This window comes from Homo sapiens, chromosome 5 (assembly GCF_000001405.40).
Source record: "Homo sapiens chromosome 5, GRCh38.p14 Primary Assembly".
Lineage (NCBI taxonomy): Eukaryota > Metazoa > Chordata > Mammalia > Primates > Hominidae > Homo > Homo sapiens.
In genome coordinates, this window is record NC_000005.10 from 126,729,554 (window position 1) to 126,742,371 (window position 12,818).

The window sequence follows — 12,818 nt, forward strand, 5'->3', positions numbered from 1 at the left end:
CTACTAAAAAATACAAAAAAATTAGCAGGGCGTGGTGGCGGGCGCCTGTAGTCCCAGCTACTCAGGAGGCTGAGGCAGGAGAGTGGCGTGAACCCGGGAGGCGGAGCTTGCAGTGAGCTGAGATGGTGCCACTGCACTCCAGCCTGGGGGACAGAGCCAGATTCTGTCTCAAAAAAATAAATAAGATAAATAAATACTTGCAAATATTTGTAAATACTATGTACCAGGAACTCTTCTAGGTATGTTGAATACATTAATTCATCTAATCTCTGCAACAACCATATAAGTACCATTATTTCTATCTACACAAGAGAAGAAAAAAAACTGACAGAGTGGTTAAGTAACTTGCCCAAGACCACAAAGTTAATCAACATGACATGTTCCTTGAAGATTTGAAAGTATTTACCTGTGAAATTTATCCAGGACTGGTGTTCATTTGAATAAGAAGTTCTTTGATAATTTTAAAAATAAAATCCTAGAACAGTAGTTTTCAAGGTATAGTCCTCAGACCAGCAGCCTTGGCACCACCTGGAAACAGACCTACTGAATCAGAAACTCTGTGGTGGGTCCCAGCAAATGGAATTTTAGCAGCCCAGATGATTCTGCCATGTGTTTATGTTTAAGAACCACTGAGCTAGAAATATAACCGGATTACTCAAAAACTTGAGGGAATAGGCTGGGTGCGGTGGCTCATGCCTGTAATCCTAGCACTTTGGGAGGCTGAGGCGGGTGGATTGCATGAGCTCAGGAGTCCGAGACCAGCCTGGGCAACACAGTGAAACCCCATGTCTACTAAAATACAAACTATTAGCCAGGCTTGGTGGTGGGCACCTGTAATCCCAGCTATTTGGGAGGCTGAGGCAAGAGAATCACTTAAACCCAGGAGGCGGAGGTTGTAGTGAGCTGAGATTGCGCCACTGCCCTCCATCCTGGGTGACAGAGTGAGACTTCCTCTAAAAAAAAAAAAAAAAAAAAAACTCAGGGGAACGTGGCTGAACCAAAAACTAAGGGCAGACTGGGCATGGTGGCTCGCACCTGTGATCCGAGCACTTTAGGAGGCTAAGGCAGGTGGATTACCTGAGGTGAGGAGTTTGGGATCACCAGTCTGACCAATACGGTGAAACCCTGTCTCTACTAAAAATACAAAAATTGTCTGGGCATGGTGGGATGCACCTGTAGTCCCAGCTACTCGGGAGGCTGAGACAGGAGAATTGCTTGAACCCAGGCGCTGGAGGTTGCAGTGAGCTGAGATCATGCCACTGCACTCCAGCGTGGGTGACAGAGTTAGACTCTGTCTCAAAAAAAAAAAAAAAAAAAAAAAAGTAAAGGCAGTGTCTTTTGTCTTTGTTCACAAAGCTCTTCTTTTTTTGAGGAAATGCTTCTGTCTCACAGCAATACAATCATGTGGTTTTGATGGGTTTTCTAAATCAGGACCCTGCTCTGTAGTGGGCACATGATATTCCAGACATTCTAATGTCTTATTTATCTGGCTTTAGCGAGTGTTCCAGACAGGGGCATGCATCCCAAGTCAGGGCAATTAGAGTTTTGCCCAGGATTTACATTTGGATATGGAGGAGAAAGTGCTTTGCTTTTTGCATTATGGAGGTGGGACAGACGTTAACTGAGTAATATTATCTGATAATTCCCCTGCCAGGTGGAAAAAGCCCACCTACAGGAAGAGAGTAAGTCCAGAACAATGAAAAAAACTAAGTTGAAAGACCTAAGAAGCTCATTTGAGAACCTGTATCTGTCATCCTGAAACCAGTTACACCCTGAATTTACCAGTTACACAAGCCAATAAACTCTTTTATGCTCAGACTATTTTGAGTTTCTGTCACTTCTAACAGAAAGCATGCTGGCTGCTACACCACAAATAAAGAGTAAATAGAAGGTATTAAACTAATAATCATAATACTTGAATTTTCAAATCCATTACGTGTGTGTGTGTGTTTTAAGATGTAGTTTCACTCTTGTTGCCCAGGCTGGAGCACAATGGCATGATCATGGCTCACTGCAACCTCTGCCTCCTGGGTTCAAGCAATTCTCCTGCCTCAGCCTCCCATATAGCTGGGATTACAGGCATGCACCACCACGCCCAGCTAATTTTTTGTATTTTTAGTAGAGACGGGGTTTCACCATGTTGGCCAGGCTGGTCTCAAACTCCTGACCTCAAGTGATCTGCTCACCTCAGCCTCCCAAAGTGCTGAGATTACAGGCATGAGCCACTACTCCCAGCTGCATTACTATTTTGACAGCACAAAAGTGTTCTATCTAAATTATACTTTCATATTACTTTACACCTTAAAATATTGCATAACTGGCTAAATAATTTTGGCTTTTTTATGTTGTTGGTCCATAAACTTGCATTTTTTCCTGAACCCAAGCCATTACTTCCAGCTTTCGCCAGTGGGCTATAATACTTTGGTTCCCTTGCCGCTGGCAGCTGCCACAAAAAAAAAAAAAAATCAACTCTAAACTGCCAACACCTTTGGGAATTTGTTCACTTGAAAGGAAATTGAATATGGCCAGTATTGGCAGCTCTCTTTCCTGGTTGGCTTAACCATAAGGAAAACCCTGACACATAGGACGCACTAAATAAATACTCATTGAATAAATAAAATGAAAACCCATGTCAGCCAGGTGCAGTGGTTCATGCCTGTAATCCCAGCACTTTGGGAGGCTGAGGCGGGCGGATCACCTGAGGTCAACAGTTCGAGACCAGCCTGGCCAACACGTGAAAATCCGTCTCTACCAAAAATACAAAAATTAGCCAGGTGTGGTGGCGCGTGTCTGTATTTCCAGCAACTCAGGAGACAGAGACAGGAGAATTGCTTGAATCTTGGAGGCAGAGTTTGCAGTGAGCCAAGATTGCACCACTGCACTCCAGGCTGGGCGACAGAGTGAGACTCTGTCTCAAAAAAACAAAAAAACAAAAAAAAAAAAAAAAAGAAAAGAAAAGAGAAAGAAAGAAAGAAAGAAAGAAAGAAAGAAAGAAAGAAAGAAAGAAAACCCATATGTTCATGAAGATCATGGCAATAAATAAATAAATGAAAAGAGAACCCAGAAAAACTTAACATTATTTTAAAGCACTGAGGATTTTATTTCTGCCATTATGCATGAATTTAGAAAATTTATTCTTTTTGGCAAATATGAAGTGTCAGGGATAAGTGTAGTTACAGTAACAGAGTTTGGATCATGGGGTTGTTAAGCCTTCAGCCAGCTCAACAAGAACACCTGTGCCAATTGCACACCCCCGTGCTTGGGCTTGTCAGGTTGTAGGTGAGCTATGAGCATTCAGCTGGTGCTGCTTATCTCTGACCCAACTTCACCCTTTCAGCTGTCCAAGTGGATTAGTATATTGTCTTGGCTCCTGGTCAAGGCTGGCTTAAATGTGTATTTCTGAAATGTTTATGGCCAGTGAGATTCCTGCCTGAGTGATGCTAAGCACATTACTCTGCTGAGGTATCACCCCTAATAGGATATACATTCCAATGAAAAGTAACCTCTGGGAGAGCCATTCGTTCCACTTGCAGTACCTGAAAGATTCCCTCCACATTGTTGTGGTTTTCTCTGTGTTTCCAGCATTTTTGAAAATTGACCTTGTTAAGAAAAGAACAGGCCGGGCGCAGTGGCTCACCCCTGTAATCCCAGCACTTTGGGAGGCCGAGGCAGGCGGATCACAAGGTCAGGAGATCAAGACCATCCTGGCTAACATGTGAAACCTGGTCTCTACTAAAAATACAAAAAAATTTAGCCAGGTGTGGTGGCGGGCGCCTGTAGTCCCAGCTACTCGGTAGGCTGAGGCAGGAGAATGGCATGAACCTGGGAGGCGGAGCTTGCAGTGAGGTGAGATCGTGCCACTGCACTCCAGCCTGGGCGACAGAGCAAGACTCGGTCTCAAAAAAAAAAAAAAAAAGATAAGGAAAAAAAGAAAAGAAAAGAACAATAGGTTTCCTGGAAGATCTATCACTTTTTTTTCTAAAGCAAATTTATTTAACTGTCAGATACAAGTGTCTTTTGGCTACCAGAACCTAAAAAGTATATACCTTAAAACACAAATCCTTTGAAAAAATTCATAAAACTGCAACTTATATCTTTTTTTTTTCAACAAGTTCACCTGCTGTCAAAAGCAACTTTTATCTATTCCAGCTGTACTTTGCTCATCTCTTCTGGACATTCATAGAACAGAAAAGAATATGTCTTTGATGTTTTCAATCAATAATCCATTTTTGAAGAGTTTTGAGGAATTGATACTGTCACTAAGTATCACCTTAAATAGCCTCCTTTTGTTGTTGTGTTCCCTTTGGGTAATTCCCTTAAATATCCTGAGGATCTGATGCTAAGTGGATTTGCTTAAGGAACTAAAAGGATTCCAACTGTTTAGAAATGTGAAACCTATCCAATATTCTTCTAGAATTTTCACTGGATATCACAACTGTAATAGTTTATATAGTAGATCCTCACTATTTGCAGAGTTGGTCCTACTTCGTTTTGTTTCAGAACAAAAGATAATCCTGTAAATTTGTTTCTGCAGATTAGATTTTTGAGCTTTGGGAGGAGACCATTTCACCTTGCTTTAAGTGGTTGAGAAACAAACAGTTAAATTGTTTATTATGAAAATATACAAGTTCCAATTTGACAAAATAAAGTGTCAAAGCAGTCAGTGATGGAGCTGATACATACCCGGGAGGTTTTGGCATGCCCTAAAGATGCTGTTTGCTTTCTCTATGCATTTACCAAATGAGATGTGTATCTTTTGAATAGTGTAGCACATCGATTTGGATGTGAAAAGCTTTTGGAATGTAAACTAAGACACAAAAAGGACACCTCTTCCCACAGAGTATTTTACATAGATGTGTACTATTACCAAAGATAAACTAACTCTTTATTTATTTTTTTATTTATTTTGAGATAGAGTTTCGCTAGCCAGGCTAGAGTGCAATGGCGCGATCTCGGCTCACGGCAAACTCCGCCTCCCGGATTTAAGTGATTCTCCTGCCTCAGCCTTCTGAGTAGCTGGAATTACAGGGGCTTGCCACCACGAACAGCTAATTTTTGTATTTTTAGTAGAGGCAGGGTTTCACCATGTTGGCCAGGCTGGTCTCAAACTGCTGATCTCAGGTGATCCGCCCGCCTCGGCTTCTCAAAGTGCTGGGATTACAGGCGTGAGTCCCCGCGCCCAGCCGATGATGATGATGATGATGATGATGATGATGATGATGATGATGATTATTATTATTATTATTATTATTATTTTATTATTATTGAGACAGCGTTTCACTCCGTTGCCCAGGCTGGAGTGCAGGGGCACGATCTCGGCTCGCTGCAACCTCCGCCTCCCGGTTCAAGCGATTCATGTGCCTCAGCCTCAAAAGTAGCCGGGATTACAGGTAATCCCAGCACTTTGGGAGGCGATGTCCGCTCACTATAACCTCCACCTCCCGGGTTCAAGCGATTCTCCTGCCTCAGTGTCCTGAGTAGCTGGAACTACAGGTGTGCGCCACCATGCTCGGCTAAATTTATTTTTATTTATTTATTTTTTATTTTTAGTAGAGATGAGGCCTTGCTATGTTGCTCAGGCTGGTCTCCGACTCCTGAGCTCAAGCAATCCTCCAGCGTCAGCCTCCCAAAGTGCTGGGATTACAGGCCAAAAAGCATTATATTTGTTACCTTTAAATCCAGAAGATATCCAGGCTGGGCGCGGTGGCTCACGCCTGTAATCCCAGCACTTTGGGAGACTGAGGCAGGTGGATCCCCTGAGGTTAGAAATTCGAGGCCAGCCTGGCCAACATGGTGAAACCCCGTCTCTACTAAAAATACAAAAATTAGCCAGGCGTGGTGGCAGGCCTGTAGTTCCAGCTACTTGGGAGGCTGAGGCATGAGAATCACTTAAACCCAGGAGGCGGAGGTTTCAGGGAGATTGCAGGATCAGCGCCACTGTACTCCAGCCTGGGTGACAGAGCAAAACTCTGTCTCAAAAAAAAAAAAAAAAAAATTCAGATATCCAGTGTCTCCACTGCTTTGATCTTGCATATCAGCTGCCAAGCTGAGTTTAGGAGTTTTAAACTATATAACACAATTTTTTTGTTTGTTTTGTTGTTGTTGTTGTTTTGTTTTGTTTAAGACGGAATTTTGCTCTTGTTGCCCAGGCTGGAGTGCAATGGCGCGATCTTGGCTAACTGCAACCTCCGCCTCCCGGGTTCAAGCGATTCTCCTGCCTCACCTCCCCAGTAGCTGGGATTACAGGCATGTGCCACCACATCCGGCTAATTTTGTATTTTTAGTAGAGACAGGGTTTCTCCATGTTGGTCAGGCTGGTCTCAAACTGCCGACCTCAGGTGATCCGCCCACCTTGGCTTCTCAAAGTGCTGGGATTACAGGCGTGAGCCACCACGCCTGGCCATAAACGCCAATTTTTAAGACTTATTAGGTGTTACTGACTCAATCTATTCTCTCAAATCATTGAGTCTCAAATCATTTGAGGGAGTTGGGGGTTGGTCAGACACCTGTCTCTGTTCAGTTCTGTCTTGTTTTGCCACATTGACATCAATCCCCTTTAAACTTTTTATCCTCTCTGATGTGTTCCATTCTGAAACATTCCAAAGCATCTAGCCTGACCAACCAACATTCTGTAAGTAGAATGTAAAGCTCATCTTTAGGCAATGACTAAAACCTCTGAAATTGATCCAAAACCATTTTCCTCTGTCCTAATTGTATATTCCTCATTCTTATCTTCCTTGGTGTCTGACTCCTTCACCTCTACACTTTCTCCTAATACCCGCCTTGGGGCATTTACTCACTCTGACCATTTTGGTCACACGTCTCTGGCATGGTGCTGTCTTAGGTGGTGTGGATCCACAAGTAGCTGTAGTTGCTAGTGAAGGAATCTGTAGTCCCAAGCTGACACTGAGGACCATTCCCTGCTGCAACCCCAGGGGCGATCCAGAGGGTGCTTAGCTTCTGCTCTGGGTGCTGTTTAGGGTTTTAAGGTCATTACCTGCCTCCAGCTGTTTCTAATTAACCTTTTCAGGCTCTCCATGAATGACTAACTCAGACCTTACCTTTTTAAAAAGCCCCCCAAAATTACAAAACTAACACATTTAACAGCTTTTTTTTTTTTTTTTTTTTTTTTTTTAGACAGCGTCTTGCTCTGTCGCCCAGGCTGGAGTGCAGTGGCGCGATCTTGGCTCACTGCAACCTCCGCCTCCCGGGTTCAAGCGATTCTCCTACCTCAGCCTCCCTAGTAGCTGGGACTACAGGCGAGCACCATCACGCCCGGCCAATTTTCGTATTTTTAGTAGGGACAGGGTTTCACCATGTTGGCCAGGATGGTCTGGATCTCTTGATCTCGTGATCTGGCCGCCTTGGCCTCCCAAAGTGCTGGGATTACAGGCGTGAGCCACAACGCCTAGATTTCTTTAAAATACCTTTTATTGGCCGGGCACGGTCAATAAAAGGTATGGAAAGTATTTACATGATGAAAGATTTCAGAACTTCAGTGGAATGGGCAGCTTCACATTGATGCCATTTCAATAGTGACTTATTTCAGTCTACTTGCTTTCCAAGAATGTCACCATCTCGGCCGGGCGCGGTGGCTCACGCCTGCAATCCCAGCACTTTGGGAGGCTGAGGCGGGCAGATCACGAGGTCAGGAGATCAAGACCATCCTGGCTAACACGGTGAAACCCCGTCTCTAGTAAAAATACAAAAAATTAGCCTGGCGTGGTGGCGGGCGCCTGTAGTCCCAGCTACTCGGGAGGCTGAGGCAGGAGAATGGCGTGAATCCGAGGCGGAGGTTGCAGTGAGCTGAGATCACGCCACTGCACTCCAGCCCAGGAGACAGAGCGAGAGTCCGTCTCAAAAAAAAAAAAAAAAAAAAAAAAAGTCACCATCTCTAAATAAGAAATAATCCTGCTGGGCACAGTGGCTCACGCCTGTAATCCTAGCACTTTGGGAGGCTGAGGCAGGCGAATCGCCTGAGGTCAGGAGTTCAAGACCAGCCTGGCCAGCAAGCATGGTGAAGCCCCGTCTCTACCAAAAATACAAAAAAAATTAGCTGGGCGTGGTGGCGGATGCCTGTAATCCCAGCTACTCGTGAGGCTGAGGCAGGAGAATGGCTTGAACCCGGGAGACGAAGGTTGCAGTGAGTCGAGATCGCGCCACTGCGCTCCAGCCTGGGCGACAGAGTGAGACTGTCTTAAAAAAAATAAACAAATAAAAAAAATCCTTATCATCTACAACTACTTTGGTGCCTCCATATTCTTGAAGAAGAACTTTATCTTCAACTTTCATGCTAACTGGTTGAATCTCTCCCCTTTTCTTTAGAACCCGATCCAATAGCGACTACTCGCTTGCAGTACTTTTCCTTGAGATTTTTCTGGAAGCATAATGCCTCCTTTGGTTACAGTTTCGGCAGTACTCCTTTCAACCGATACTCGGTCAGAGTGGAAGAAAGTTTCTAAAGGTTTGTCCCGACATGACTCCCTCCGCCGCAGCCTCGTACTCTGCTCTCGTGCAGCGCCGCAAGGAGAGACCTCTTTCCCTTTTTTGTATAAACTCAAGGGATACAAGTGAGGTTTTGCTACATGGGTATATTGTCTTGGCTTTTAATGTAACCATCACCCGAATAGTGTAACTTGTACCCATTAAGTGACTTCTCATCGTTCCTCCCCTTCCCACCCTCCCAGTCTTCCAACCCTCCAACTCAAGGGATACAAGTGAGGTTTTGCTACATGGATATATTGTCTGGGCTTTTAATGTAACCATCACCCGAATAGTGTAACTTGTACCCATTAAGTGACTTCTCATCGTTCCTCCCCTTCCCACCCTCCCAGTCTTCCAACCCTCCAACTCAAGGGATACAAGTGAGGTTTTGCTACATGGATATATTGTCTGGGCTTTTAATGTAACCATCACCCGAATAGTGTAACTTGTACCCATTAAGTGACTTCTCATCGTTCCTCCCCCTCCCACCCTCCCAGTCTTCCAACTCTCCAAAGTATAGTATCCCACACTCTATGTCCATGTATATACATTATTTAGCTGCCACTTATTTGTTTTGTTTTTTTGTTTTTTGTTTTTGTTTTAGATGGAGTCTTGCTCTGCCGCCCAGGCTGGAGTGCAGTGGCATGATCTCGGCTCACTGCAAACTCCGCTTCCCGGGTTCAAACGATTCTCCTGCCTCAGCCTCCAGAGTAGCTGAGATTAGCTCCCACTTATAAGTGAGAACATGGTATTTGACTTTCTTTGAATCCTGGCTTCCCCTGCTCAAGTGATCCTCCTGCCTCAGCATCCCGAGTAGCTGGGACCACAGACTTGTGCCACCATTCCTGGCTAATTTTTGTATTTTTATTTTATTGTATTCTATTTTATTTATTTTGAGGCGGAGTTTCACTCTTATTGCCCAGGCTGGAGTGCAGTAGTGCGATCTCGGCTCACTGCAACCTCCACCTCCCAGGTTCAAGTAATTCTCCTGTCTCAGCCGCCCAAGTAGCTGGGATTACAGACGTGCACACCTGGCTAATTTTGTATTTTTAGTAGAGACGGGGTTCCACCATGTTGGCCAGGCTGGTCTCGAACTCCTAACCTCGTGATCCACCCATCTTGGCCTCCCAAAGTGCTGGGATTACAGGCGTGAGCCACCGCGCCTGGCCAATTTTTGTATTTTTTTATGGAGACAGAGTCCTACTATGTTGGCCAGGCTGGTCTTGAACTCCTAGGCTCAGGCTGCAATAAACGTATGAATGCAGGTATCTTCTTTTTGGTATGGTGATTTCTTTTATATTTTCTTTTCTTTCTTTCTTTCTTTTTTTTTTCTTTTTTTTTTTTTTAGACAGGGTCTCATGCTCTTGCCCAGGTTGGAGTGCAGTGGTGCCATCATAGCTCACTGCAACATCAAACTCCTGTTCCCTGGTCTCCTGCCTCAGCTTCCCAAGTAGCTGGGACTACAGGCAAATGCCAACATGCCCAGCATATATATATTATTATATATATAATATATATATTTTATATATTATTATATATATAATATATATATTTTATATATATATTATATATATTATATATAATATATATTATATATAATATATTATATATAATATATATAAAATATAATATATATTATATATAATATATATAAAATATATATATTATATATAATATATATAAAATATATATATTATATATAATATATATAAAATATATATATTATATATAATATATATAAAATATATATATTATATATAATATATATAAAATATATATATTATATATAATATATATAAAATATATATATTATATATATACATGCCCAGCATATATATATATATTATATATATAAAATATATATATATTATATATATATAAAATATATATATATATAGAGAGAGAGAGAGAGAGAGTGATAGAGTCTTGCTATGTTGCCCAGATTGTTCTTGTACTCCTGGGCCAAGGGATCCTCCCACCTCACGCTCCTAAAGTGCTGGGATTACAGGTTTGAGCCACTGTGCCCAGCCAACTATTTCTTTTCTTTTCCTTTGGGTAGATTGCCAGTAGTGGGATCACTGGGTCAAATGGTAGTTCTATTTTTAGTTCTTTGAGAAATCTCTAAACTATTTTCCATAGAGGTTGAACTAACTTACATTCCCACCTAGAATGTGTAAGTGTTCTGTTCTCTGCATTCTCACCATCAGTTATTTTTAGTCTATTTATTTATCTACTTATTTATTTTATAAACAAGGTCTTGTATGTCACCACACCTAGCTAATTTTCAATTTTTTTGTAGAAACAGGGTCTCACCATGTTGCCCAGGCTGGTCTGGAACTATTGGGATCAAGAGGTCCTCCCCACTCAGCCTCCTAATGTGCTGGATTACAGGCTTGAGCCACTGAGCCTGCCCAGTCTTTTTAATAATAGCCATTCTAATGTGTAAGATGATATATCACTGAGGTTTTAATTTTCATTTTCCTTTTTTGTTGTTGTTTTGTCTTTTTGTTTTCTGTTTTTTGAGACAGAGTCTTGCTCTGTCGCCCAGGCTGGAGTGCAGTGGTGCGATCTCAGCTCACTGCAACCTCTGCCTCCCGGAATCAAGAGATTCTCCTGTCTCAGCCTCCCGAGTAGGTGGGATTACAGGTGTGTACCACTATTCCTGGTGAATTTTTAAAAAATATTTTTAGTAGAGACGGGGTTTGCCCCTGTTGGCCAGGCTGGTCTCAAACTCCTGACCTCAGGTGATCCACCCCCCTTGGCCTCGCAAAGTGCTAAGATTACAGGCGTGAGCCACATTGCCTAGCTGAATTTTCACTTTTCTGATGATTAGTGATGTTGAGCATTTTTTCATGGGCTTGGTGGTCATTTGTATGTCTTCTTTTGAAAAATGTCTATTCATGTCCCTTGCCCACTTGCCTACTTTTTAATGGGATTATCTGTGGGATTTCTTTTTATTTTTTATTTTTAGGAGCGGAGGTTTAATAGGTAGAAGAGAAGAGAATGAGAAACAACCCGGCAGGCACGGTGGCTCACACCTGTAATCCCAGCAATTTGGGATGCCGAGGCGGGCAGATTACGAGGTCAGGAGTTTGAGACCACCCTGGCCAACGTGGTGAAACCCCGTCTCTACTAAAAATACAAAAAATTAGCGGGCGTGGCAGCGCCTGTAATCCCAGCTACTTGGGAGGCTGAGACAGGAGAATCGCTTGTACCTGGGAGGCGGAGGTTGCAGTGAGCGGAGATCGCACCATTGCACTCCAGCCTGGGCAACAAGAGCGAAACTCCATCTAAAAAAAAAAAAAAAAAAAAAGCCTTGCTGAGGACTCCCATACCTTTATTATCTGTCCAAGTAATTTCATCTTAACTCCTCCTGTATCATTCCCCTCTCCGGAGTGGTAACCCTAACTGCTGTTAGGGGTGTTGGACGATGATTATTTCTGGCTAATCCTGCCGAAAAGGGGTGTTGTATGGGGAACAGCAGCTAGGGCTCCTCCTGTGGTCGATCTAAGCATCCTCGGAAGAAAATTGTGTCCATTCGTGGTTCTGTCTACAGCACCATTGGAGTTAGATTGCTGTCAGCCATTCCAATGGGTGGTAACCCTGGTTTGCCTCCACCAGATGTTGCGTTTCAATGAATGTTGTACCTTGGTATCCCGGATGAGGGCCCCAGTATGAAGTGGCTACATTGTCTGGGGCATATACCCTGGGGTTCATCGTCTCCCATCAGGAAAATTTAGGACACAGACACACACAAGGAGTTTAGGAGCAGAGGTTTAATAGGCAGAAGAGAAGAGAAAGAGAAACAGCTCTCTATATGTAGGGAGAGGGATATCTGAGCAGAAAGGGCGCTGATACTTATTTATTTATTTAGAGATGGAGTCTTGTCTTGTTCTGTTGCCCAGGCTGGAGTGCAGTGGTGCCATCTCAGCTCAATGCAACCTCTACCTCCTGGGTTCAAGCAATTCTCCTGCTTCAGCCTCCAGAGTAGCTGGGACTACAGGCGCCCAGCTAATTTTTGTGTTTTTAGTAGAGATGGGGGTTTCCCCATATTGGCCAGGCTGGTCTCGAACTCCTGACCTTGTGATCCGCCCGCCTCGGCCTCCCAAAGTACTGGGATTACAGGTATGAGCCACCATGCCCAGCCTATTTATATCTTTTTTAAATAAATTGTTTGTCGTCTTTTGTTGAGTTGTTTGAGTCCTTTGTAAAATCTGGATATTAGTCCCCTGTTGGATTCACAGCTTGCAAATGTTTTCTCCCAATCTGCAGGTTGTCTGTTCACTCTTTTGACACCAGGTACTTACAAAATATCAATTGCATAAAGATAATGA

At 43.2% G+C, this 12,818-nt stretch overlaps 1 pseudogene; it reads right to left on the reverse strand.

The window, feature by feature from the left end:
- HSPE1P10 (heat shock protein family E (Hsp10) member 1 pseudogene 10) lies at window positions 8,213–8,531 on the reverse strand (annotated as a pseudogene).